The following is a 27,086-nucleotide window of genomic DNA, read 5'->3' as shown; positions in this document are numbered from 1 at the left end:
TGCCGGCAGGTCTGGTTTGTGGGGAGGGTGTGCACCTGATGGGGACGAGGCTATGACCAAAGGCACAGATGTGGGCTGTGGGTGGCCGGGACCAGACTGGGGAGCTCGGCAGGGCCATGAGGCTGGGGCCTGGGACGGACAGGGACCGGGGTCCTGGGGGCTTCAGGCTGGACAAGGTGGGGAGCAGGGTGGCCCGAGGCTTGTGGCCGGGTCGAATGGGCTGGGGGTCAAGGGCGTCTTCACCCGAGAGTGAGGGCACTGGCGCCTCTGTCTGCCCCTCGTGGCTGCCGGCCCTGCAGGGAGAGCGCCCGGTGTCAAATCAATTGGAGAAATTGATCTTGGCAGGGATTTCCGAGCCATCTGCTCGGTCCCCAAAGCCTTCTGAGAGGGTGAACATGGCACCCAAATCCCTGGGGAGGCAGGTCGAGGGGGGTGCTGCGGTGTGAACGGGCCTCGGTTTCCCCCAGTGCACCCTGGATGCACCCCTCTTTGGTGACTCAAGAGGCAGAGATTTGTGGACCCCCTGCAGAAGCCCACCCTGCCCCGCCCAGAGCTGTCAAGAAGCTGTGAGGGGCAGCTCCAGCCTAAGACCCCAGGCAGCTTCCATCATTTTTCACCCTGTTCACGAATTCCACGCCTCCCGCTTCCTGCTGGGCATTTGGCCGCCCCCGTCCCGGCCTTGTCTGGCTCAGCGGGGCTGGGGCCGGGGGCGGGCCCTGTGTCGGGCCTCGGGGGAGCCCAGGCTCCGCTCACTCTGCGCTGGCTGCACTCGGCTCCAGGGACAATATTTGCTCGGGGAAAGAATCAAACATTTATCCTCGCATTTATTCAGGGGAGCAGTTGTCAAACACGCGTGTCCTCACTGCTTGGATGTTTCCCAGGCCTGGCCTCAGCCTGGGCCTTTCTCCTGCCAGGATTTGTGCCCACTCAGCCGCTCCCTGTGCCCTCCAGGAGGTTGAGGTCCTGCTCTGGGCAGACGGCGGGAGCACGGGTCGGGGCCAGTGCTGGGCAGGGCAGAGGGGTCCCTGAGGCCGAGTGATGCCGCACCCTGGTCCTTCTCCTTCCAGCCTCAGAGCAAGGCCAAGGTGCCCCAGAGACCCCAGCAAGGCTCTCTGGGCCCACGTTCTGGGCCTGGGGCGCCAGGAAAAGCTGGTGTTTGGGGTGGGGGAGGTAGGACAATTCTAGGTGGGAGGCGGCGGGATTCCCAGGGCCTGCCATTTGCGTCACCCGCGCGGCCGCTGCCTCTCAGCAGTGCTGTCTGCTGTGGCCTGGGGAGCAGCTCCCCGCTGCGCCTGGATGACCGTCCTCTGCTCCTGTCCCCGTTCCCTCTCCCGGGCCAGAGCCCCTGCCCCAAAGCAGAAGAGACGGCCGCAGGTTCCCTGTCCTCTCCAAGCCCTGACCCTCAGGTCCTCCTGCAGCAGGAGCACCTCTCCCTAGTGCCCTCAGGCACCCCACACTGGACCCCTCCAGACAGAGCCAATCTCAGCACGGCACAGCCATCTGCACCCCCAGCAGCCTGGAGGGCTGCAGCCTTCACCCCAACCTCAGCCCCCAGCTCTCCTCTGCACCAGCCGCCTCCCCACCTCGCCCCTGGCTAGGCCAGCGCCCAAGCCCCCACACTCCCCTCTCTGAGACAGCAACTGCCGCCCGCAGCCTCCCATGGGGGGTGTCGGGCAGCAGGGTGGGGCCCCCAGGACAGGCGTGACCCTGGCTGACCAGGGGCTGCCCAGCCACACTCCCCTTACACCTGCATCCCCAGAGTCCACACAGTGCAGGGCAAGCGAGGGGCTGGGGCCCTGGCCAGGGACTCCGGGGACCTGAGTCAAGCGCTTTCGGGTGTCTTTAACTTAGCAGAGCAGCCTTGGACGGGGACCCGGTGGCTCGGAGCTGACATGCAGCTGGTGGGCCGGGCAGGTCAGCTCCGCCGTCAGGAAGACCCTCTCGCCTGGCCGGCCTTCTGGAAAAGTCGCTCCCCAGAGGGAAGGCCGGCATGGGCTGGGGCCAGATGGAGGGTGAGGCGGCCCTGAGCACTTGCACGGCATGGCGGAGCCCCCCACCGGTCTGGCCACCTCCCCTACCTCCCGGGAGCCCCCGCTGTGTGGCAGACGGTTAGAGGGGATGGTCGGTCACGGTGGGGAACCTACTGCCCTGTGTCTACCCCAGCCTGGCTTCAGCCAGCTCTGTCCTCACACCACCGCCGGGGAGCATCCTGACTGGCAGGTCATGGGTGGGGGTCACCGCAGTGCAACCTCCGCTCCTGGGGGTGACACGGGGCCGCCCACCCCCCGCCTGCACTCTCACAGCTTGCTGGTCTGCATAAGCCCGTTGGCTGCGGCGCGGTGCGCGGGTGGCGTGGCCTCCTGCTGCTGCCGGATCCTGTCTGGACGCGGCTCCGTGGCGTCAGCGTCCTTGGCACCAGAGCCCTTGCGGAGGCACAGAACCTTCTGGAAGCTCTGGCGGAAGTTGTCAGAGAGGAAGCCGTAGAGGACGGGGTTGGCACAGCTGTTGGCGTAGGAGAGGATGACCACGAAGAAGTAGAGGCCGGCGGAGGCGGGCTCCTGGGGCAGCGCCACGGCCAGGTTGACGATGTTGACGGTGAAGAAGGGCAGCCAACATCCCGCAAACACCAGCACCACCACCAACACCATGCGCGTCACCTTCCGCTCCGAGCGCCGCCGCACGCAGCCCACGCGCACGCCCGCCGCCCTCACCTTCACCACGATGAGCAGGTAGCACAGGCAGATGACCAGCAGCGGCGCGAAGAAGCCCAGCACGGCCGTGTAGATGATGAAGACGGCGCCCCACAGCCCCACGGGCTCCGGCCAGCTGGCGTTGCAGGTACCGCCCTCCTGCACGTCCGCGAACACCAGGAGCGGCAGCGACATGCACAGAGACAGGACCCAGGCCGCGGCGCTCGCCAGCTTGGCCACACGCGGGCGGCGCCAGCGGGCCGAGCTCAGCGGGTGCACCACTGCCAGGTAGCGGTCCACGCTCATGACTGTCAGGCAGAAGACACTGGTGAACTGGTTGACGCCGTCCAGCGTCATGACCAGGCGGCACAGGACGGGGCCGAAGGGCCAGAAGGACGCGGCGTTCTGCGTGGCCAGGAAAGGCAGCCCCAGCATGTACAGGACGTCGGCCACTGCCAGGTTGAGAATGTAGATGTTGGTGACGGTCTTCATCTTGGCGAAGCGCAGCACCACGTAGATGACCAGCGTGTTCCCGCCCAGCCCGGCCGCACACACCAGCAGGTACAGCACGGGCACCAGCACCGCCCGGGCCCCTGCCGAGGGCGCCGGCCCCACCAGCGTCCTGTTGTCACCGCCTCCAGAGGCAGCCCCCGGGGAGGAGGCGTTCCAGCTGGGCGTGGAGGCTGGGAACAGGGGCTCCATGGCGGCAGCCCTGGGGTGCGTCAGGCTCTGCAAGAGAAGAAGGGAGGACGCCAGGGTGGTGAGTCCCTGAACCAGCACATGCAGGCATTCCTTCCTCCTGGGCCCCAGCCCCGCCTGCCAGGAGGCGCGGGATCACCGGGTAAACACGATTAGTCATGTTTAGCTTGGCCGGGAATCACGTTAAGCAAATTGTTTGGAAAATAAGCCAGGAGAGGAAGGAGCGGCGGGCAGGTGGCCCCGGGAGCCCAGACGGACGGCTGCTGTCGATATGGCGACAGCTGCCCTGTGGCCGCCCCTGCACCCAGATGGCGCCTGGCCTGGCCGCAGCATCCTGGAGTCTGAGGCCAGCACCTGCGTCTCCCTGAAGCCCCTCAGAGCCTGCCCTGCAGTGCTGCTGCCCTCGTCTACCAGGTAAGGAGCCGAGGCCCAGCGGGCGGCCCCTCCCGGGACACACAGGGAGAGGTGGCAGTGGAGAGAGATGGGGCCGGTGGTCGGCCCCCTGTCCGCCTGGGATGAATGGCACCTGGCTAGGACGACCTGAGAAGTGGCTGGACGTGGTGTCGCCACCGCAGCCTCGAGGGACTTTCACCGGGGTGCCCGCTGCCCGTTGGCCCCGAACCTCTCTCCAGGCCAGCGCAGGGACCGTCACCCCCACAGCAATGACAGACATCTGTAAACCCAGGCGGGGGCACAGCACAGGGCCAGAGAGACACCACCCTCCCCACGGGGCGGCTGCAGAGAAGCAAACACACAAACCACACAGAGTGGTCACACGGAGCCCCAGGAGTCACACAGGGCGAAGGAGGGGGGACTGCGGGCGGGGGCTGCACACCCTGCAGCCCGGAGGAGAAGCCGCGGTGGGGGGTGTGGGCGGGTCAGAGGCATAGCGTATGGGGGCTGCAGCCACCTGACACTGCCCAGTCCCATCGGAGCTTTGAGCCCCCTCCCAGGCCCTGGAACCCCCCACTGTGGCCCAGAGAGAGAACAGGGGAGACTTGGGGGAGGGGAGGGAGGGGTGTCCATGGAGAAGGGTGGGCTGGGAATGGTGACGTCTGTGGGTCCAAGGCCATGGGCACGTGTGTACCTCGTATATTGTTTTTGTATTTTTCTGCATGTTTGAAATCATTCATAAAAATGATACTCCGGCTGGGTGCAGTGGCTCAAGCCTGTCATCCCAGCACTGTGGGAGGCCGAGGCGGGTGGATCACCTGAGGACAGGAGTTCAAGACCAGCCTGGGCAACATGGTGAGACCCCCGTCTCTACAAAAAATACAAAAATTAGCCAAGTGTGGTGGCGGGCGCCTGTAGTCCCAGCCACTGAGGAGGCTGAGTCAGGAGGATCATTTGAGCCCAGGAGGTTGAGGCTGCAGTGAGCTGTGATTACACCACTGCACGCCAGCCTGGGTGACTGAGCAAGACCCTGTCTCAAAAAGAAGATCAATGCCTCCCCTGACGAGTGGGGCGGAGGAAGTCCGGATGTTTGGGTTGACCCTGGAGCTGTGTGACTCTGGGGGTGGCCAGCAGAGAATCAAAGTGTCCCCTAGGATCCAGACCAGGGACAAGCCCCTCCCTGGGGGACCTCGGCCTGAGCAGGGGTGGAGCCGGCTGTGGTGACCTCAGCATGTGCCGTCTGGAGCCCTGGGGCTGCTCAGCTGACCGGCCCTGACCCTGGAGGCACCTCAGAGCACAGGACGACCCCAGCAGCTGCCAGGAAAGGCCACAGTCCTGGCTGGGGGCTGTGGGGCTGGGCCAAGGCCACTGAAATCTGGTAGACAAGGAAAGGAGAGCTGGGGACGGGGGAGCCCAGAACACAAGGCTGACAGCACAAAGAGAAAGCCCTCTGTCCCCAACAAACCTAGAAATCAACATCCCCAAGCTCGCATGGCCCAAACACACTAAGAAATACGACTCAGAAAATCAACAGGGCCAGTGGACCCATGGATCCATCTCAGGGAGATAAAAATAACGAGCAAACAGGTACGCTTAGGCTATGTTTAAATATGTGCAGGATCCACAGAGACAGCATGGATAAAATGTTAGGAAATACATTTGGCTTCTGTCTAAGGAGTAAAATGAACAGGCATCTATTTTTAAAAATTACAAATCCTGGATGTAAAAAATACAATCATTTAAGTGGAAAAAAACACTACAAAAGTGGTCAGAACCAACTCCAGTGTGGACAGCACTGAAGAGAGAATTGGTGAATGGGAAGAGGGTTGAAAGATTCACTGGAGCAGGGTGCTGGCACAAGGTCCAGAGAGGGCTCTGTGGGGTGGGCAGGGGGAGAGCATGGCTGGGCTCCCCCAGAACTGGCGACAGGATCCCTTCTGGGAGCGCACCTGTCCCAAGCAGCATAAAGGAATGAAAGAGCATCCCCATCAAGCTGCGGCATCTGGGCAGGGACGCCAGCCAGAGAGACACCAGCCAGAGAGACAGGACGGATTCCCACAGGCAGGAGCCAGAGTGCAGCAGAATCCTCAGCAGGGACGGAGCAGTGGCCTCCACGCAGACCCCGGGGTGGGAGAAGAGGGGAGGTGGGGAGGGAGAAAGAAAGACAGGGTGTGGGGAGAGAGGGAGGGAGAGGGAGAGGGAGAGGGAGAGGGAGAGGGAGGGGGTGGCAGGGAGGGAGAGAGAAAGATAGGGTATGGGGGAGAGGGAGGGGGAGGCGGGGAGGGAGAGAGAAAACAGGGTAGGGGGAGAGAGAGAGGAGGGAGAGGGAGAGGGATGGGGAGGCGGGGAGGAGAGAGGGAGAGAGGGAGGGAGAGGGAGGGGGAGGGGAGGAGAGAGGGAGAGAGGGAGGGAAAGGGAGGGGAGGTGAGGGGGGAGGGAGAGGGAGGGGGAGGTGGGGAGGGAGAGAGAAAAGGTGGGGGGAGAGGGAGGGGGAGGAGGGGGAGGGAGAGAGAGGGGGAGGTGGGGAGGGAGAGAGAAAGACAGGGTGGGGGGAGAGAGGGAGGGAGAGAGAGTGGGGGGGGAGAGAGAGAGACAGGGTAGGGGGAGAGAGGGAGGGAGGGAGAGGGAGAGGGAGGGGAAGAGGCCTGTGGCTCTCCGCTCCCCAGGGACCAGCATGGAAATCCAACACGCCATGTTTGCGGCTCCCTCTGGCTGCCTGTGGAGCATGCATTCCGGAAGGACAGTGGTCTGGAGACAGCCCGCGGGCTGCGTGGGAGTCCAGGTGGGTGGGATGGCGGCCCAGGTGCAGAGGCCTCTGAGCTGCACCCTCCCTGGGGAGGCACTTTCGGCCCATTCCTCCGTAGCAAGGAGGCCAGGTGGAGGGGACAGAGGAGCCACCGATGGTGGGACAGGGAGAGGGCGGCTGTCGGGCTCCGGTCCATCTCCAACACAGGCCCTGGGTCCCCAGCACGTGTGGTTCCCAAATGCCTGTTTGATTTTTTGTTTTCGAGATGGGGTCTTGCTCTGTTGCCCGAGCTGGATCGAAGTGGTGCTGTGATCACAGCTCACTGCAGCCTCGACCTGTGCTCAAGTGATCCTCCTGCCTCAGCCTCCCTGTCTTTGTAGCTTCTTAGCTTCAGAGGAGCCTCAGGGTTCCTCCAAGGCCACTCCCATGCCCAGAGCCCAGCGAGGGGCTCCACAGGCTGCCAGGTCCCCGGCTCTGCGGCCCCCAGTGCTCCACCTCCGGAGTTAGACTTCAGAGCAGCAAAGGACACAAATAGACCATTATTGCTGTACCTGACTCTTGGAACATAATTCTGCAAGAGCCGTTATTTGGAAGCAGTATCCTCTGAATCATAAAATTACGCACTCACGGGGAATTGTCCCGGTGGCCCTGTCCCTTGTGGGTGGGGGATTCACTGGAGGGGGAGCCAGCAGTAGGAGCTTTCTGATCCCGAGCCCTCGGCCACGAAGGGATCTGCTCAGCCTGACATGGCACTGGGAGAGACCCCGGCCCCTGACCACTCCCCACACGGGCTGCGTGGTCTGGGGTAAGTCACGGGCTTCTCTGAGCCCAGCTTCTGGGATAGGCAACTCCTGCAAACTGTAGGGTTGCTGAGCTGATGAAACTGAGTGAGCTTCTGTGTGCAGGGTGCTGCGTGCATCCACTCCCAGCAGCATCCATCCCTCCCATCTCCTGCCCCCACCCCACAACTCACCATCTGCAGGTGCCCGGTGTGCCAGGGTCAGCCCAGAAGCCACAGGGGACCCAGATGGCCCCAGTCTGCCCACAGCACCGCTCCCGGCCTCACCTCCCCACGACGGGGACCACAGCGGGGCTGGCATACACTGGGCGCTCAACGATTGCTCCCACAAGCTGCCCTAAGCAGCCCAGCATTTCCCCAGCATCCAGGAGGCCGCTGGGCTCCTCGGAGAAGGGGGCAGTCTTCACAGGGGCCTGGGACCAGAGGCGGGGCCTCAGCACCAAGTCCTCCATGACTGGGTGGAGGTCTAGCCTGCACCCTGCCAACTCCTTCCAGGCTAACCCAGCACGAGGTCGGGGAGTCGGCTCCTTCATGGGGGGCAGCGATGCGGCTGCAGCTTGGAGGGGCTGCGGAACCTGCTGCTCGGGGAGGCAGCGGCTCACACGGCCGGGGCCCACGCCGCACCCTGGAGAGGCTGCAGACCCACCCGGGCTCCTCCATTGTGTGCTGGGCAGGGGCAAACGTCGGGGGACACCCTAGCTAAGACTACAGGCCCCAGCCCCTCCAAAGGCCCCGGAGCCAGGCCTGTGCTCCCAGGACAAGCGTTCTGACCTGTTTCCTCTGTCGTAAGGGTGGCCTGGTGGCAGGCCACTGCCCCCTTGGGGTCCAGCTCTGTGAGTGCAGCCAATGGCACCCCTGCCTGTCCCCCACATACACGCCACCTGTCCCTGCGGCAGCCTGTGGCCAGGGGCACATACCCTCCCCAGGAGAGGGAAACTGAGGCAGGTGTGGGCCAGCCTGGAGCAGCAGCAGCAGGGGTCCCGCGTGCTCCGCGAACGCTTCTCGGGGCACCCTCCACACCAGGCACCTCCTGACAGCCTCGCTGGGTCTTGCTCTGGAAATCAACGCCAGGCGCCTGTCCTTGGTGCTGTTGACCAGTTTCTGCCCAGGAGGCTCTGGCAGTCCCCACCTACATAGTCCAGAATCACTGCCTTCAGAAAGGGCTCAGCCTCACTGGAACCATCCCCAACTTCTGTCACCATGCACTCCGCTCTCTTGCCCTTGAGGGGGCCCCAGGCAGGCTGGCAGGCTGGGGACAGCGGGTCGGGCACGTGGGTGGGTCTGGGGTGGGGGAGGAGGGCCAAGGGCACACACCCCAGTGGCGTGTTCTCTATTCTGGAGAGGGTGAAGACGCCAGGAGGATTCCAGGTACACGCGGTGCCTTGGACAGGAGGGGGCTCTGTTCGCAGCGGGCGGGGTGGCACCCCAGCCTCCCCAGTCTTGGGTTTCAGGGAACCCATCTGTGAGTGCCAGGTCACAGGGCCCCTGGGTGCTGGCCTCTGCCTGCTGCCTTCCAGGAGCTCACCGACCCAGCTGCGCGCAGGCACCAGTTGCCTCCCCCGGCACCCAAATTGCGGATCCTCCCCTCGCTGGGTGCCACGGGCACCCTGGGACCCTCCTTCCGTGGCCCAGTGGTTCCCTGTGGCCTGAGTGCCACTTCCGGCCCCCAGCCCCAGGCTCCGAGCCCTCCCCAGCCTTACCCACCCTCCTCCAGCTCCAGGAGCCAGCCCCGCTGTGGCCCCCGTCGTGGGGAGGAGAGGCCGGGAGCGGCGCGGTGGGCAGAGTGGGGCCATCTGGGTCCCCTGTGGCTTCTGGGCTGACCCTGGCACACGGGGTGCCTGCAGATGGTGAGTTGTGGGGTGGGGGCAGGAGATGGGAGGGATGGAGCTGCTGGGAGTGGATGGAACGGGAGGGGAGGGACCCCCGGCGGCGGCAGGAGAGCCCCGCGGGTGTGCGGAGGGCGCGTGGGGGACAGTGCGTGCAGCGGGCTGGGGGCGCACGGCGGGACCCCGGGCCGGGGCTGCGCACACAGGGTGAAACCCCCAGTGGGGATAACAGCCGAGGGCAGGGGGTGCCCGCGCGGGAGGGGGACAGGGGCGGGCGGCACTCACCTGGGCGGCGGCGCCCTCTGAACGGGGGAGCCCCGATGTCCGCGCGGCACTGGCTCCGGGCTCCCGGGCGCCGGCTGGGAGGGGGCGGGGCGGGGCGGGGGCGGGGCAGTGCCTGGTGGGGGCGGGGCAGGGCCGCTTCACCTGCTCGACTCCCGGGTCCCACGTCTGGCCTCCGGGAACCCTGGCGCACTCGCCCACAGCCCTGGTCCCACTGGCAGTGACCCCATGATCGCCTGCGCCCCCACCCTATTTTCTTGCTGTCCGCTCTGTGGTAGACCCCAGCTTGGGGTGGGGGTCCTGCCGCCAGCAGGAGTCCAGGGGGTCCCTCGTCGAGAGTCTGAAGAGGGTGGAGGGTCCTTGTTCAAGGGGAGAGGGTCAGGGGCTCTGCAGACGTCTCTGAGGGGTGGGCTGGGGTTGTGGAGATAAGTGGGTGTGTGGAGGCTGGTGGGGGCGGCAGGCAGCCCCAGCGAGGGGGGTCCGTGGTCGTGGGATTTCCAGGACACTCCACTCGGGTTTTATCCATGCCTTATTTGTGGATCCTACACATATTTAAGCATAGACTACCTGCTAAGTTGTTCTTTTTATTTCCCCTGAAATGAATCCATGGGTACACCTTAGTCCCTCACCTAAGGTGGGGTTCTCAGGCAGGCAGCAGAGTCACCTGGGTCCTCAAAGCAGATTCCTGGGCCTCGAGCTGGGCCCCCGACTCCCCAGGCAGTGAGGGCCTGGGAATCTGCATTCCTGAGAAGCTCCCGGGATGCTGATCCCCGGGCCCGCCGTGAGCGCCGCTGGTTGTAAGAAGCGGGACCGAGCGCCTCCTCCCGCTGAGCGCGGAGGCTGGGGATCACCGGACATTTTCCCACCAGGAGGTCCCCCAGCCCCCTCCCCTGACTCTGTGCCGACCCAGGGAGCCCCGCCACTGGCTGAATGAAGTGAGGCGCCCCCAGGTGACAGCAGAACTCGGAGGGCCCCTCTCTGAGGGGACATGGGAGCAGCCGCCTGCCGTCTGTTCACAGGTGGGGTCGGCTCCTGTTGAACAGGCGCCAGCAGCTCCCTTGAAGGCCGGGTACCGGGACCATGTTCTCTCCTTTAAGCGTTTCAGTGTTTCCACATGTTCTGCAAGCAGCGCGTGTTATGTTTACCATCGAGCAAGAGTGCTTAGAGGACCATGGCACCTGGCCCCAAGGTCCCCTCCCCTCCTCCCCAGCCTGCGGCCATGGCCAGGCCCTCAGGGGAGGCTGCAGGCTGGTCCCAGGTCCCCTGCCCAGAATCCGCCCCATAAGCCTTTCCATCCTCTCTGGAGGTACCTGGGCTGTATCCCTCCCACCCTCCCACAGCAGTGGCTTCCCAAGGCAGATCCTCTGAGAACCCCCTTTGTGACCCCTAACGCCTCCCCCATCTCCATCTGCTGCCCCTCCCCTCAGCCTCTGCCCACCATCCTCATGGTTCTCGCCTCAGCCCCTGGCTGTGTTCCTCCAGCTCCCACTGCCTCGCACCTGGGCCCCCATCTGTCATGTTCTGGGGCTCCCTGAGAAGCCTCTGGGGTCCCACTGTTCTGGAATCACTGGGTGCCCCAGGGGTGCAGGGTCCGGTGTGCGAGTCACGGCCCAGCGCCCAGTGGGAGCTCAGCCCTGCGGGTGGGTGGGCGCTGGATCTACTCACATCCCCAACATCAAGCTGGGACACCCCCCACCTCCAAGCACCTGGGCCCTCCTGGGGGCCTGATGGCCAGAGAGGGGACCTGTCGGCCCCACAGTGCCCCTCCCCACATCGGCCACCCTGAGTTCTGGGCAGGAGTCCCCTGGCCTCAGTCCCACCCACCCCAGGAGGATCAAATGAGGTCATGCCCGCCTGGGACGCTGCAGAGGTCAAACCCAGCACCGTGAGGATTAGGGGCTGCCAGTAGCCATGGCAACCGATGGTGGCTGGATGGACTCCGCAGGGACGGTCCTCAGACCCCTCTCCAGGGACCCCACCCTAACTGTGACCTGTCCCACGGCCCGTGACACCCCCTCTCCTGAGGCTGAGGACAGCAGCTCCCGGACACAAAGCCCGTGCCCCTCCCCCACCAGGCAGAGGCTTGGTCACTGGGCTGACTCCCCTGTAATTATTCAAAAGCAACAGGGGCTGACTCCAGCTCACCTGGAACACCCCAGAGGCCTCTCGTCTTAGTCCCCAGACTGGGCTGGGCCCTGGGGGTGGCGGCCAGGAGGAGTGTGGGGCACTCTGCCCTGCAGCCAACAGGGCCCTCCCTCCGCTCCTCCAAAGGGCCCCGCTGCCCACTGTCACCCTCTGAGCATCAGGCGTTTGCCCTGGCTGCCCCCCTGCCTGGTGCACCCCACCTCCCTTTCTGCAGGTAACTCCCCTGGCAGCTCAAGCAACGCTTCCTCCGGGAAGCCCGGGCCGCCCCACACTTGTTCCGTCGACCGCTGCCCCCAACAGCCTGCAGATGTTCACAGGAGGCCACGGGGCCTGGTGGGTCTCGACGTCGCCCCCGGGTCTGATCACAGCAGGATTCCAATAAACACGGGTCCACGTGCACCTCCCGGCCCTGGCTGGTGCAGCACAGCCCGCCAGACAGGAGGTCAGAGATCAGCCCCCCACCGGGGCAGCACAGCGGGTCACCAGCCTCCCGACAGGAGAAGAAAACACTGGCGCAGGCGCTGCCGGCATGTGTTGCTGGGACTGGGCTGGGAGGGTGTCCTGGTGTCTGAGAGCCTCAGGGAGCTACCGCAGAGCGTCCCCAAGAGCACAGGGTGCCCTGACATCCTGCGGATTCCAGCCTGGGGACCCGGCAGCAGGGGCTTCCCACCAAGGCGTCTGGAGTGAGATGCAGGCTGCAGCTGCCAAGGGCAGAGCGTGGCCCGGGGTCCAGACAGAAACAGGGAGACCCTCAAAGGGTTTCAAGGATGGGGCCTTCTGCAGGGGCCTGAGTCCCGCCCCTGGGGCCCTGGCTGACCCTCCTGGCCGTGGTCTCGAGCTTCAGTGGGCACTCTGTTAAAATGGGGTGCTCATTAAAATGCAGCTTCCCAGGCTACTCCAGCCTTCAGGATGGGAGGCGGGGGCAGTGCTGAGGCCCTCACCCACACAACCCGCTGGGGTGCCCACTCTGTCCCCTGGCACCTGGACCAGTGCCCAGTGTGGAGTGACGTCCCATGAGCACCAAAGACCTGCCCCCTCCCAGCCCCAGGTAGAAGCCACTGCCGGGCCTGCACTTGGGGGAAGGTGAGGATGAGGAATTTGAGTGAATATGCCCTGGAAACCGCGTCTGGAGCTGGTGAGAGACTCCCACACAAGACCCCCACCCTCCTGGGGGATCATGGGGACCCCCCAGTCCCACCTGGGCTACGGCAGCTCTTTCCTCCGCCAGCAGGTTGTACCACCCAGGTGAGGCCTCAGGCCTGCAGCAGCACTCTGATAGGCCCAGCTGGGGGGCGGGGCCTGCTCGCCTAGGCACCTCTGTGCACTCTGATAGGTCCAGCTGGGGGGCGGGGCCTGCTCTCCTGGGCACCTCTGTGCACTCTGATAGGTCCAGCTGGGGGGCGGGGCCTGCTCTCCTTGGGCATCTTCATTTGAAGATGGGGAAACTGAGGCTCAGAGAGGGTAAAGGGCTTGGCTTGGAGCTGAGTCTCTGGATGCTCAGGCCGGGGCCCACCCAGGACACCCTGCTTTTCAGTGAGTGGAGGGGCTCTGCAGGTGTGAGGAGGGAGATCAGGGCAGATGCAGGTACCTCCTGGCCCCTGCCGCAGCCCAGCTGGGACCCGCCTCATCCCAGACAATGAGGCCCCAGGAGTCCCGGCCCAGCCTCAGCTTTGGCAGGGCCCTGGTTCATCCCGGGAGGTGCTTCACGCGGTCACCAGGCAGCCCCACTCCTGCCAAAGGCTCCCCATACGGCAAGATTCACCCTCTTCCCGGGATGTGCCAGGCAGCTCTCGGGGCCAAAGCCTCCCCATACGGCAAGATTCATCCTCTTCCCGGGGTGTGCCAGGCAGCTCTCGGGGCACTGCTGTCTGGGCTGTGGACTCAGCCTGTGCTGGGCAGGGCAGGGGGAAGTAGCAAAGCCGTTCATGCAGATGGTATAGCCCCATTACCAGGCCCCCTGCCTGCGTGCGCGACACCAGCCCCTCAGCTGGGGCCAAACCTAGCATCTGGTGCAGCCGTGGGCGCTGACTCAGGCAGCGGGGTGTGAAGGCAGGACCATAGCGGGGGGAGGAGGAAGGGGGCGAGCTTCCAAAATTAACAGCCACATGACGCGGAGACTATTAACATCCCACCGCACAGACAGAGGCGGCGTCCACAGAGGGGCCTGGTGAGCCCAGCACTGCTTTAGGGCTGGGGCTCGGGAATGGACGTGCAAAGGGCAGCCCTCATAGCCACATGGACAGCAAGGAGGGTGTCACGGTACAGGTGCCGTGGGACAGGTCACAGCTAGGGTGGGGTCCCTGGAGAGGGGACCGAGGACCATCCCTGCGGAGTTGCCATGGCTCCCGGCACCCACTGAGCCTCACAGTGGTGGGCTTGACCTCTGCGGTGTCCCAGGTGGAGACTGGACTCACTGGATCCTCCTGGGGTGGGTGGGACCAAGGCCAGGGGACTCCTGCCCAGAACTCAGTGTGGCTGATGGTGGGAGGGGCACTGCAGGGCCGACAGGCCCCCTCTCTGGCCATCAGTCCCGCAGGAAGTCACTGGGGGAGGGGTCACAGCCAGGATCCTGACCCTGTGTGATGCCAAAGGCTGTCGGCATTCCTGCGTGGGAGCGGCCACCAACTCGTCCAGAGACAGAGGGAGCTGGGGGTAGCTGTGCCGAACGCCTATTGGCTCCAGTGGAGATGGCGCCAGTCTCACGAGGCCAGAGAAGAGACCCAGAGCCAGGATCCAGACATGGGGTCCTAGCGGGGGCTACACACAGGGGAGAGGGTCCAGCGGCAGCAGGTGGGGTGGGAGAACTACACCCACTGCAAAACCACAACCATCTCAAAAACCACAACCACCGCAAAACCCACAGTCACAACCACCGCAAAAATCGCAACCACAACAAAAACCACGACCACCACAAAACCACAACCCCCGCCAGAAGCACGCCCTCCCTACAGCATTTTCACTTAGCACCCTCCCCCAACAACCTCCACCCGCAGCCTCCGTTGAACCCAAAACAGAGGACCTCAATCCCCAGCATGGCCCGGGTTCCACAGGACAGGCCAGGGCTCAGATGTTTCTCATAGAGAGGACTTGGGTCTCCGGTTGGCTCCTCCCAGATTCCCTCGCTGGCAACCCCAACCACCTTCAGGTGTGTCTGCCACGGGGCACCCCCAGGTGTGCCTCATTACTGCCGTCAGGGGCGTTCACCAGGTGCGGTGGTCTGTCCTTGCACTGCTAGAAAATACCCACGACCGGGCGTGGTGGCTCACGCCTGTAATCCCAACACTGTGGGAGGCCAAGGCGGGGCGTTGGGGGTAGGGGGATCATGAGGTTAAGAGCTCGAGACCAACCTGGCCAACATGGTGAAACCCCGTCTCTACTAAAAGTATAAAAATTAGCCAGGCATGGTGGCACATAACTGTAATCCCAGCTACTCAGGAGGCTGAGGCAGGAGAATCACTTCAACCCAGGAGCAGAGGGTGCATTGAGCTGAGATCGCCCCACTGCACTCCCTCCTGGGCGACAGAGAGAGACGCTGTCCACCCCCGCCTCCACCAAAACAAACAAACAAACAAACAAAAAAAACCCTGAGACTGGGTAATTTATAGAGAAAAGAGTTTGATTGGCTCACGCTTTGTAGGCTATATGGAAAGCACAGGTGTTTCTGCTTCTGGAGAGGCCCCAGGAAGCTTCCAACCGTGGTGGAAGGCGAAGCGGGAGCAGGTGTCTCACATGGCGTGAGCGGGAACGAGAAAGACAGAGCAGGTGCGGGACACAGTTAAATGGCCACTCACAATCTCGAGGACAGCACCAGGAGGGACGGGGCCAAGCCATTCACGAGAAATCCGCCCCTGCTACCCAGTCACTCCCCACCAGGCCCCACCGTCACACTGCAGACTCCATTTCCATGTGAGGTTTGGGTGGGGACGCAGAGCCGCACCACACCACCACCCAGGAGGATGCCCAGGAGCAGGCGTGTGGGGCGCTCAGGGATGATACGCCTCACGGGGGGACCCTGCCTCCAGGGGCTAGGGTGTCTGGGAAGAGGCTGGGAGCCGGCGTGGCTGTGGCCCCTCCATCCAGGCATCACAGACCAGGGCTGGTGGGTTTCAGGGGGTGTCCACATCCACCACCCTGAACCCCATGTCCTTTTCCAGGGAAACGTGCAGAGGAAATGGTTGGAGAGCGAAGTCCAGGCACAGGGGCCATGAGAGCCGGACCCCACGCAGCTGCAGACCTCGACCCGAACTGCATGCGGCTGAGGACCCCCAAGCCAGGCAGACCCCGACCCAGACCCCACGCGGCCGCGGACCCCCGACCTCGACCCAAACTGCATGCGGCTGAGGACCCCCAAGCCAGGCAGACGCCAATCCAGACCCCACGCGGCCGCGGACCCCAACCCAGACAGACCCCGACCCACCCGTGCAGCCCCCAGCCCCAGAAGTCAAACCCCAGCGTCCCCCAGGGCGGCCCGGGCTCCCTCAGATACAGCAGCTTCCTGAGGTGGCCTCACCTGCAACTCCAGACCAATCAGAGAAGGCCAAATGGGCTCCCCAAGCCCAGCAGGTGGGACCCCCGATCTAGAGAGCCCCTTCCCCGCCCCAGGCCAACAGCCACCCTCGGGCTCCGCATCAGGTCTGCCAAATGCAGGGGCGAGGGGCCGACCCCGCCACGGGAACCAAACTCAGGAAACAGCCCATCCAGCGTCCATCTCCATCCGGACCCGCCGCCGCGGCCGCAGGTTCACGCGCCGTTCCGCGGAGATCTCTCAGGCGCCTCCGGCCCGGCAGAAACCCGCGGTTCCGATGGCAGAGGTCCTGGTGGGAATCGCACCGCCTGCCGTTCCTGCCTCCGCGGAGGATGCGCTGCCCTAAACTGCCCCCGGCTCTTCATCCCCCAACCCCCGGCAGCCTCCGACCCTCCCCCGGCCGGCGCAGCTCAGCCTTTCGCAGACGCGGGGGAGCTGGAATCCGACCACGCGCAGCCTTCTCACCGTGGTGCACGCTTCGGGCCCCCCACGCCTTTCCCAGGCTTCATCACCCATTTCTCTCCAGCGCTGAAGGAAACCCCCCAGATGCTTCTCCACTCACCCACCGAAGCAGGTCTCGGTTGCCCCCAGCCCCGGGCCCTCCCGAGAACACTGCAAGCCCCCACTGGTCCCCTCCCGGCAACCCCACGGCCCATCCCCAACCTGCACTCACCCTGTGGGGCCTCCACCCTTTGGAGGAAGGACGTGTCAAAGCTTGGAGGTGCGCGGCCTGTCTAACCTCCGCCCAAGGCGCGCGGCAGGCGACAGGTCTCAGCCCGGATCAGCGTGGTCCAAAAGGACTTATCGTTAAAAGTGCTGGTCCCAGAACCCAAGGGGAAGACATGCTGGTTCTCTGATGAGCTGGGCCGCCTCCTCCAGGAAGCCTCCTCCTTGGAGCTCTGTAGCCATCGTGGGCTTGCAAGAGTCAAAGGGCCTGGCCCACAGCGGCGCCCGGCACTGAGCTGGACAGTGTCCTGCCCCCAAAATTCATGTCCGCCCAGAACCTCAGAATGCAACCTTCCCTGGTAGTAGGGCTTTGCAGATGTAATTAAGGATCTGGGGACGAGGTCACCCTGGATTGAGGCTGAGTCCCAAGTCAGTCACTGGTGTTCCTCCATGAAGAGCAGAGCAGAATAGAGACAGATGCACAGAGCAGGCCCTGTGAGGACAGAGGCAGGGACTGGAGCGTCGGCCGCAGCAGGGGCGTGGAGCCCCCAGAGCTGGAAGAGGGAGGGATCCTCCCCAGGGCCTCCGGAAGGAGTGTGCTGCGTGCTGCCCACACCGTGATTTTGGACTCGTGGCATCCAGAACTGGGAGAGAATAAATTTCTGATGTTGTAAGCCTGCACTACAGCAGCCCCAGGACGCTGAAATAGTTCAGCCGGTGCAGGCTCCTCCCTCCCTCTCTCTCTCTTGTTGTGAGATATTTTTTAGACGGGGTCTCACCTGTCGCTGGAGTGCAGTGGTGTGATCATAGCTCACTGGAGCCTCTAATGCCTGGGCTCAAGCGATCCTCCCACCTCAGCCTCCCGAGTAGCTGGGACTACAGGTGCCATCAGACCTGGCTAATTTTTAAAAATCTTTTTAGAGATGGGGGAGGTCTCCCTATGTGGCCCAGGCTGGCCTTGAACTCTTGGGCTCAAGTGATCCTCTCGCCTTGGCCTCCCAAAGTGTTAGGATGGCAGGCTTGAGCCACCACGCCTGGCAGCTCCATCTGTGTTGACTCCTGAAGCCCCTCATCTTGGCTAATCCGGACAGGCTTGCTGGGGACCCCATCTCCCCTTGGAGACTTTGGGATGTGGCTGGATGTCCAAGTGGCCGGGGTCCTCCACAGCCCCCAGCTTCCCAGGGCGGGAGGCAGGCTGTGTCCTCGGTGGGCACTGACAGTGAGGCTGAAATGTTTGCACTTCACATTTCCACATTTAGGGGCATTTTGTTGTTGACTCATTCAAAGCTCTTTTAAGTCGCTTAATTTGCTGCTCAGAGGGAAATGAAAAGGGAGCCATTTTCCCTGATTTGTTTGCCTCATCAACTTTTCAATCAATAAAAAAGTGCATTTTGCTCATCGGATGCAAATAGGTCCATCTTTCCTAATATGTTGAAATATAGTGATTCATCAGCCATTTCATTTCATCTGGAAGCTGAAAGCCTAATGGCGTTTGGCGAGAACTCCTCACTCGAGAAGAGTCGGTAATAAGTCAGCATGAACGCACAGGTGGGGCGTGGCTCTGCGTGGGTGCAGAAGCGTGGCGCTGGGTGACGTACGGAAACGGGGACCTGCAGCGGCTGGGAGTGTGAAGGCTGTGGCCACGACGCCGGCTCACCGGTGACCAGTGCCCACCGGGGTTTGCCCTCCCCCAGAGGCCACACCCCCACAGACCCAAACTCAGGGTCCCTGCCAGGCTGGACCGCAGATGCCCCGCCAGGGATGCAGGTAGGGGACTTGAATGAGGCGCAAACTCCTCGTCAAAGGACAAGCACGTCCCCGTCCAGGCAGCCACTGCCTGCCCCTCACAGTTGTAGCCGCTGCCGCCCAGTATGGGGGGTCACGTTTGGCACCGTGAGCTTAGGGGGTCTGGAGCCTGCCAGCCCCAAAGACAGTAAGATGCCCCCCTAGGCGTCCAGGCCAGCGACGGGCACCCCCTGCCCACCTCATCCACCTCCCTGGGCTCCTTTCCCCTCAGACGCAGCCAGTGTGTGTGCTTTGGTGGGGTGGGGTCTCTGCTCCTGGTCACCCCATGAGCCTGACTGTACCCCCTTCCCCTGCTGATCCCCCTCAAACACTCAGCACTTCCCTTCTCTAGCATTAGGCGGGGAGGAACCAGCTGGGCCCCGGGGTCAGCCCTGCCCACAGCACCTCCCATGGCCACAGCAGCGTTGGGGGATCTGAGGCCCCCACAGCACCTCCCACGGACACGGCAGCGTTGGGGGGTCCGAGGCCCCCACAGCACCTCCCACGGACACGACAGCATTGGGAGATCTGAGGCCCCGGAGCACCTCCTACGGACACGGCAGCGTTGGGGGATCTGAGGCCCCAGAGCCCAGGGCTGCTCATGGAATTGGGCGCCAATTTCCCGGGACCCACATGGCAGAGGCTGGCGGGGCAGGGAAGCCACGTGCAGGCCCTCGAAGCAGATGCCACCTGCCCCTGACCATGCCTGCGGCCACTTCCTGCAACCCCTGTGACTCTGGCCGTCTCTGACCACAGGAGGCCTGGCCTGGGCGTGGGAACGGCCAGGAGTGTGGTGAGTCCATGCCCTGGGGTACAGCCACTACAGCCTGGCCACTTCCCTATGGTAGGGACAGCTCCGGGGTGCTGCCTCCTGGGGTCTGCCCACAGCGGTGACCTGCTCACTACTGCCCATTGGCACCCACCCCTTCCCTTCACAGCACCCCCTCAATGACGGGTGTTTCCTGGGGCCACCCCCAAACTCTCTGCCTGAAGATCCTTGCCTCTGAGCCTTCCAGGGGCACCCAACAGAGACCCGGTCACCTCGCTGCCCCCCACGAGGACACACTGGCTGCAGGCAGGTGACAGAGGTGCCCAGGTGCCACACCGCTGGGCGCTGACCTCCAGACTCAGACCACAGAGGCCACAGACACGTCCCCTCGGCTCCCACGGCCGGGCCCTGGGAGGGACACGGTGGATGCCGACACCATCACTGCTGCTGTTCCCGGCCTGGGATCAGCTCTGGGCCTGGCCGGCCTTGAGTCACCCCTTAGCTGCACACAGCGTTTGTCCCGATTCAATCAGCACCCACGGGGTGACCAGAGGCCCCGAGAGCCCAGCCAGTGGGTGCCAGGAAGGGTGCGAGGCCTCAAGGAGCCAGGGCCGGAGCTGCAGCCGGGACGACCCCGTCAGCCACAGCAAGGACGGCAGGCAGCTGGGGCAGTTCCCCGGCCTAAGCACCACCCCAGACCTATTTACCCCGTGGCAGGGGCCGGTGGGGAAACTGTGGCCCGGAGGTCAGGGGTCCTGTCCACAGTCACCGCCTGTGTGAGTCTCCCGGGGCTGCCATAACAAAGAGCCACGAACTGGGAGCTAAAGCCACGGAAACGCGACCCCTCCAGCCCTGGGGCCGCAAGCCTGAGATCGAGGTGTCCGCAGGGCCACACTCCCTCCGAAGCCTCCAGGGGAGGGCCCTACCGCTCCGCACTGCCAGCCACCCGTGGTGTTCCTGGGCTGCCTCTCTCCAGTCTCTGCCTCTGACGTCACGCGCCCGACTTCTCCCTGCTGTCAGCAGCCTCCTTACAAGGTGCCGGTCGTTGCTTTTGGGACCCTCCCCGTCCGACCTCATCTTAACTCGATCATTCACAAAGACCCCATTTCCAGTGCTCGCAGGTACCCGGGGTCAGGGCTTCGACATACGTTTTTGGAGGGGCTCAATTCAACCCACTCCACCAGCTTCTGAGTGCTGGGGCCTGGGATTCAACCTCCCCGGCTGGCCGCAGTGACCACTGGGATACATGGCTCACCAGCCAGCTCCTCCCCGGGGCTCAGGCCTCAGTCCCACCCACCCCTCCATGAGGACCACCTGGGGCCCCAGAGAAGGGAGAGGCAGCTGATTGCCGGGGAGATGGAGTCCCGGGGGAGGGGCGGTGCCCACCCCCACCTGCCAGGTTGCTGGGCTCCATGGAGGGGGCACCTGAGACCCCCTCCCAAGAGCCAGGCTTCCTCCTCTCAGCAGAGCCAGGCCCTGAGGGGCAGCCGGAGGGCCCAGGCCTGTGCTTGGTCCCAGCAGAATTGTGTGGTCCGAGCCTGAGAAGCAATTTATTTGCACGTCAGCTCTGGGAGCCTCTCTGCCATTTCTGGAGACATTTAAGAGCTGCCATCTATAACTTCATTAGGGACGGCGGGGCCAGGGGCAGCTGCTGACCGCTGTCCCTGTAGGGCGGGGCTGTGGCAACACCACATTTGCCCAGGGCCTGCGAACCCGCCCGCGCTGTCTGAGGAGTGGCCACCGACGGCACCAGATGGAGGCTCTCCAGCCCTCCCTCCCGAGCCCCGGTAGTGAGAGTGGGTGCTGAAACCCCATCCCGGGCCCCAAAGGACACTGGCCGATTCTCGCGCAGAAAGCCACAGGCCTTGTCGCACTCCCTCCCTGTGGACGGGTGTGGATGTGTCATCATCTGACTGCTCCCTGGGAGGGCTGGGAGTTTCACCCGCTCCTGCCTTGCCAAGGCACTGACCGGCTGGAGGCGCGGAATCCGGCCTGGTTGTTGGCGGTCCGATCTGGGGACCGGCTCTTCGAGGTCTGTCCTGTTCAGCCCCGCCTGGGGCATAGGGTCTTCTAGGTCTCGGGTTGTGGTGCGGGGTTGCCAGATAAATGCAGTAATGGCAGCAAGGAGAACCGGCATTTCCACTGGGCCTTTTACGTCTACCATGCCTGTTTTCCCATGTGGCCCTCCGACTCCTGTGAGGGAGGTGAGGCTGCACTATAGGTGAGGATGTGGGGGATCAAGGCAGGGGCATCCCCCACCCACCCTCAGCCATGCAGCTGACTGGGGCCGGGCTGGGGTTCAGACTCAAAGCTGACGCCGGTGCCTGTACCCCCGGGGCGCTGCCTCTGTCACCAGGACACGGATGGGGCACCACTGGCAGCCAGTGGGCGGGGTGGGGGATATGGAGTCTGGTTCCAGGACCTAGAGGCCACCCAGGCTCCAGCAAAGGCAAACATGCACCCTCCGTGGGGATATGTCCCCCTGGGGCTTGGGCTCCATAGAAGAAATGGCCCGCAATGGTGAGCTCACACCCCGAGGGACTGGCAGACACGGCACCATCTTCTAATTTTTAATGTTCCATTTTTTTTTTAAAGAGATGAAGTCTTGCTCTGTCACCCAGGCTGGAATACAGTGGCACAACCATAGCTCACTGCAGCCTTGGACCCCTAGGCTCAAGTTATCCTCCTGCCTCAGCCTCCCAAGTAGCTGGGACTATAGGCAGTGCCACCAAGTCCAATAAACGTTTTCTGTTTTTTTGTAGAAAGAGTCTCACCAGCTTGCCTAGGCTGTCTCCAGCTCCTGGGCTCAAGCAGTCCACCTGCCTCGGTCTCCCAGAGTTCTAAGATTACGGGTGTGAGCCACTGCACCCAGTCAATAGTATCTTAAGAACCAGAAATAATAATAGAACAATTAAGAGATTATAGGCCAGGCGTGGTGGCGCACGCCTGTAATCCTAGCACTTTGGGAGGCTGAGGAGGGCAGATCACTTGAGGTCAGGAGTTTGAGACCAGCCTGGCCAACAAGGTGAAACCCCATGTCTACTAAAAATACAAAAAATTAGCGGGACATGGTGGTGGGCGCCTGTAATCCCAGCTACTTGGGAAGCTGAAGCAGGAGAATGGCTTGAACCTGGGAGGTGGAGGTTGCAGTGAGCCAAGATCACGCCACTGCACTCCAGCCTGGGCCACAGAGTGAGAATCTGTCAAAAAAAAAAAAAAAAGATTATACATGAGTTTAAAATGACTAAAGAGATAAAAGTAGAAATGAAAAACAATATAATAGCATGAAAAGGACCCAGCAGATTAGAAAAACAACCACACAGGACCTTTAACACGAGGAATATGGCTGTTGGTATAAAAACCTCAGCTGATGGCTTCAATAGCAGATTAGATGTGGCCAAAAGAGAATATGGGAGTTGGAAGACAGCCCTGAGGAAGTCACCCAGATGATGCCTCCCCATATAGTAGCAGGTAAGAGACTGAAACTAAGCTGCAGAAAGGCCAGTGTTTTCACATTGAAGACACTCTCCAATCCCTGCTCAGAACATCGGAAAAATGAATCGAGACCCAGACCCAACAAAGAGGGTGGGAGACATCAGGAAACACCTACACATTAAAAAAAAAACAAAAAAAAACCTCTAACCCTAGGCTGAGCGCAGTGGCTCACGCCTGTAATCCCAGCACTTTCTGTGAGGCCAAGGTGGGAGGATCACTTGAGGTCAGGAGTTCAAGAGACCAGCCTGGACAACATAGCGAGACCCCAATCTCTACAAAAAATTAAAAAACTTGTGGGGCATGGTGGCACACACCTGCAGTCCCAGCTACTGGGGAGGCTGAGGTGGGAGGATCACTTGAGCCCAGGAGTTTGAGGTTGCCTTGAGGCGTGATGGCACCACTGCACTCCAGTGTGGGGGACAGAGCGAGGCCTTGTCTCAAAAACATGCCTGGTGTGGTGGCTCACGCCTGTAATCCCAGCACTCTGGGAGGCTGAGATAGGCAGATTGCTTGGGTCAGGAGTTCAAGACCAGCCTGACCAACATGGTGAAACCCCATCTCTACTGAAAACACAAAAATTAGCCAGGCGTGGTGGCACGTGCCTGTAGTCCCAGCTACTTGGGAGGCTGAGGCAGGAGAGTCCCTTGAACCCGGGAGGCGGAGCTTGCAGTGAGCCGAGATCACACCACTGCACTCCAGCCCGGGCAACAGAGCGAGACTCCGTCTGAAACACAAAACCCCTCCAGCCCTGTGAAGTGTGCAAAGAGGCTCCGGAAGCTCGCAGATGAGATGCAGGCATAAAGCCTGCCCCCACTTCCCGCCCCCAGAATGTCCTGGGGACCCTGGTGGGCACTGGTCAGGGCCCGTGGGGGTTTCCTGGGGCAGGATGCAGCTTGGGTGACTGGGCTGAGGCCCCCAGCCGACTCTGGGGGGTCCCAGGCAGGTTGGGGCAGACGGGAGGGCGGGGGTTGGGGAGGCAGCAGCCCCTTCTCTTGTGGCGTGGCTGTGACTCCCTTCCCTTCACACGAAGCAGTCAGGATGCGGCAGCCGGGGGCTCGGGGCCTTCACGGGGCAAGTTCAAGCCCAGCGCCGGCCTCCCTGGGACCCCCCACAGCTCCTGTCATGATCATGTCACGTGGACATGGGATCTTTGGCTGAAGAGACAAATGGCAGCATTGACCAGGGGCAGGCAGAGGCCGGACACTGAGCAGGAAGTGGGGGCTGATGGGAGCCGGGACTCCGGGTGGGGGAAGGGAGGGTCTGCTGGCAAGGCCTCCCCCACCAGGCCGCTCTCCGTGGGCTCTGAGCGCCCCCCGACCAGCCCCCCAGGGGTCCTCACCCTGGGACCCCCATGTCCCCCATGAACTGAATCTGCCTGGACCCCATGCTTGGTGACGCCCCCACCCCCCTCCTCCCAGCTCCAGGGTGGGGGGACCCTGCTTCGTCCCTGCCCGGACCCTGTCGGGGGAATTAAACAGGGGGATGGGGCGTGGGGCAGAAGGGACAGCAGCAGGGGCTTAGGGCCACCTCAGAAAGTGGGGGCTCCTGGAGGGGACCAGCCTCCCTGCCACCTGGCGGGTGACACCGGGGTCCCCAGGCACAGGCCGCCCACTGCCCAGCGCCGGACTCCCCAGCTCCACCACACCTGGTTCTCTCCCCGACCAGGCCCCGACCCTGGGGACCCTCGAGGAGGGGCCTGGACACGCCGGGGGGGGGGTTGCAGCAGCCCCCACCGGACGGTCCCTGCGTTTGAACCGCGGTGTCGGGACCGCCGGCTTCTGGCGCCCTCTGGTGGGCACAGTGGGCCCTGCGTGAGGTCGGGCTTGGTGGGCGGCTCTGAGGCTGGAGCTCAGTGACAGCCACAGTGGGTCCTGAACTGGGGCTGGGGCAGAGGCAGCGAGAGCCGGGGTCCCTGTGTCCCACGGCCTGGCAGGGACCCGCTCCCAGCAGCTCTGTTGTGCGGCCTTGGCTGGTCAGTCAGCCCCTCTGAGCCTGGTGTCCCCGGCAATACGGGGTCACAATGACGTCCCCTGCCCACTCTGCCAGGCATTTCCAGGAAAGCCCTGCCGTGGGCCCGTTCCCAGGCCTGAATCTGTTCCTCGGGGACCTCTGGATTGGCAGGCCCTGCCCTGGTGCTCCTGACAGCCCTGCCCAGGCCAATCCTTCTTTGGGGATGGGTACTGTCAGCCTCACGGGCCCTCAGTGATAGGGACAGGAGACAGAAATTCTAGGTAGAAAAAGATGGGGTTCCTGAGGAACCCCACCCTCAAGCCTGGAAGCATAGCCCTGAGTGAGAACACGCATTCCAGTTTCCCTGCTCCAATGCTGCCTTTTCCAAAACCACCACTGCCTCGCCCCACCCCCATCCTGTACCCATAAAAACTCCTGACCTTATTGGCAGAGAACAGAGCAGGCAAGGAGAGGAGAAGCAGCTGGCCATCGGAGATGGCAGTTTGACATCAGAGAGGAGCAGCGTGACCTCAGAGGGACAGCTGGACAGCAGGACTTTGGAGAAGAGTCTGGTAGAGACGGCAGGACTTCAGGGGACTATCACCTTCCCCCTCCACCCCCTCTCCAGCTCCCCCTCCCACTGAGAGCCTCTTCCACCACCTTCCCCCTCCACCCCCTCTCCAGCTCCCGCTCCCTGTGAGAGCCTCGTCCATCACCTTCCCCCTCCACCCCCTCTCCAGCTCCCCTCCCTCTGACAGCCTCTTCCATCACCTTCCCCCTCCACCCCCTCTCCAGCTCCCCCTCCCTCTGAGAGCCTCTTCCATCACCTTCCCCCTCCACCCCCTCTCCAGCTCTCCCTCCCTCTGAGAGCCTCTTCCATCACCTTCCCCCTCCACCCCCCTTTCCAGGTCCCCCTCCCTCCATCGGCCATAAAATCCCTTGCATTTACTATCCTTCAATTTCTTCATGCAACCTGATATTTCCTGGATGCTGGACAAGAGCTTGGGATACAGAAAGCTGTCACACTGACCCTCTGCCCTCGAGAAAAGGCAGAGGGTCCACTGAGCTGTTAAACACTCCAGACATCCTTGGACAGCAAAGCTAAAAGCACTGTAACACACACCCTCTGAGGCTTCACGGGTCACAGGCACTGCCCTAGACACTGCCACAGGACTGCACGGAGTTCTGCTCCTGCTGTGCCCAGAAGTGTTCACTCCAGCTCCTGCACCCGCCCACCTGCGTGCTCCTGCTGCCTCGAGGGGTTGAGAGCTCTGGGCTAAGCAAGATACCGCTGTCACCAGGCCCACAAAGGGGTCAAGGAAAATTTCTTGTTTCATTGGGGTGTGCGTGGCATGGACGGGAGAGGAGGGGCAACACAGGGCTGCCTTTACCAGGTCACTCCCCTTTCTGCCCTTGGGGACCTGCCTCAGTGCCGCCCCCCAGGTAGATGGGTTTGGGGCCAGGGACCCCCCCAAAGCAGGCAACCCTCAGCTCGGCCACCCTCTGACCTTGGGTCCCATGGCCGGGCTCTCAGGTAGGGCCTGGCCACCCAAAAGCAGCCCCAGCACCCCAACCAACCCTCACCCCACAAGGCCACAGTCCCTACAGCAGCCCCAGCACGTCCCGGCCCGCTGTCCCCTGAGCACCCCTGACAAACCCTCGTCCTGCAAGACCACAGTCCCTACGGCAGCCCTGCCCATTCCTTCCCGGCCTGGAGCTTAGGGTTCCTGCAACAGGCTGGGGCCTATGGAGAGTGGCTTGCACCTGGTGTGCTGGGGTGTGGCTGTTAACACCTGGGGCGCAGCCTCACCAAAGCAGGGTGTTCGCAGTGGCTCTTATACCACCACGGGGCGGGCCTCCCTGAGGCCCCTCTGCTCCATCTCCCTTTGTCCCCAGAAGCGCTGAGCCCGAGCGCCCTGGGGTCCTGCTCTGAACACACTGTGTGCCCTTCCCTCCCCAGCTGGCCCTCAGAGACCCTTGGCAGGGCCTGATTTTCAGGACCACGGCCGCAAGCAACCTCCTGGCCCCCTCCTCCCCTTCAGCTCTGCAAACCAGCTCCCTGACCAAGGAGACTTTCAGAACTGCCCTCTGATCCTGCAATCTGAGAGGACCACACCACCGTGCAGCCCCCACCCCGGGCCTCGGCTCCCTGAGCCCCAGGACCCCGCATCAGGGCCTGAAGAATCAGGCGGAGCACGGCCGGCGCTGGCCACTGGGGGGCACACGTGCAGTTCTCAAGGCTCCCAGCAGCGCCGGTGTCCGGCGTCCAGTCCTGCCAGGCTCAGGCCCGAGGACAGGGGTTGGGGGTTCTATGTG

General features: G+C 63.1%; 1 protein-coding gene and 1 long non-coding RNA gene across 3 annotated transcripts, besides 5 other annotated features; one reads left to right on the top strand and one right to left on the bottom strand.

Annotated features, from left to right (window-relative positions):
• SSTR5 (somatostatin receptor 5) lies at positions 807-9,514 on the bottom strand. Of its 2 annotated transcripts, NM_001172560.3 has the most exons (2): positions 9,439-9,514; positions 807-3,419 (listed from the first exon to the last, which is right to left on the bottom strand). In NM_001172560.3, the coding sequence occupies exon 2, from the start codon at positions 3,390-3,392 to the stop codon at positions 2,298-2,300; it is 1,095 nt and encodes a 364-aa protein (NP_001166031.1). In that variant the 5' UTR covers positions 3,393-3,419; positions 9,439-9,514; the 3' UTR covers positions 807-2,297. The 2 variants fall into 2 exon arrangements, with proteins under 2 accessions (NP_001166031.1, NP_001044.1); NM_001053.4 differs by lacking the exon at positions 9,439-9,514 and having other exon boundaries at positions 807-3,435.
• Positions 3,112-3,776: an enhancer, noted in NCBI's record as "H3K4me1 hESC enhancer chr16:1128485-1129149 (GRCh37/hg19 assembly coordinates)". NCBI's record gives its function as "activates a minimal SCP1, AML or CMV promoter by ChIP-STARR-seq in primed H9 embryonic stem cells {active_cell/tissue: H9 hESC(primed)}" and the evidence as "EXISTENCE:reporter gene assay evidence [ECO:0000049][PMID:30033119]".
• On the top strand, positions 3,530-18,180 carry SSTR5-AS1 (SSTR5 antisense RNA 1). The gene is made up of 4 exons (NR_027242.1): positions 3,530-3,803; positions 4,549-4,637; positions 15,218-15,342; positions 15,735-18,180. It is a non-coding gene; the product is annotated as an SSTR5 antisense RNA 1 (long non-coding RNA).
• Positions 10,013-10,754: an enhancer, noted in NCBI's record as "H3K4me1 hESC enhancer chr16:1121507-1122248 (GRCh37/hg19 assembly coordinates)". NCBI's record gives its function as "activates a minimal SCP1, AML or CMV promoter by ChIP-STARR-seq in naive H9 embryonic stem cells {active_cell/tissue: H9 hESC(naive)}" and the evidence as "EXISTENCE:reporter gene assay evidence [ECO:0000049][PMID:30033119]".
• Positions 11,723-12,479: an enhancer, noted in NCBI's record as "H3K27ac-H3K4me1 hESC enhancer chr16:1119782-1120538 (GRCh37/hg19 assembly coordinates)". NCBI's record gives its function as "activates a minimal SCP1, AML or CMV promoter by ChIP-STARR-seq in naive H9 embryonic stem cells {active_cell/tissue: H9 hESC(naive)}" and the evidence as "EXISTENCE:reporter gene assay evidence [ECO:0000049][PMID:30033119]".
• Positions 18,581-19,080: an enhancer, noted in NCBI's record as "H3K27ac-H3K4me1 hESC enhancer chr16:1113181-1113680 (GRCh37/hg19 assembly coordinates)". NCBI's record gives its function as "activates a minimal SCP1, AML or CMV promoter by ChIP-STARR-seq in naive H9 embryonic stem cells {active_cell/tissue: H9 hESC(naive)}" and the evidence as "EXISTENCE:reporter gene assay evidence [ECO:0000049][PMID:30033119]".
• Positions 24,519-24,698: a silencer, noted in NCBI's record as "silent region_6963". NCBI's record gives its function as "represses an Ori minimal core promoter by ATAC-STARR-seq in GM12878 lymphoblastoid cells {active_cell/tissue: GM12878}" and the evidence as "EXISTENCE:reporter gene assay evidence [ECO:0000049][PMID:35858748]".

Source organism: Homo sapiens, chromosome 16, assembly GCF_000001405.40.
Source record: "Homo sapiens chromosome 16, GRCh38.p14 Primary Assembly".
Taxonomy (NCBI): Eukaryota; Metazoa; Chordata; class Mammalia; order Primates; family Hominidae; genus Homo; species Homo sapiens.
Note: the sequence above shows the minus strand (reverse complement) of the source record. Positions and strands in the feature narration are given on the sequence as shown.

Excerpts from the sequence above, each read along its gene's own strand:
- SSTR5 (NM_001172560.3), bottom strand. The coding sequence starts at position 3,392 with ATGGAGCCCCTGTTCCCAGCCTCCACGCCCAGCTGGAACGCCTCCTCC.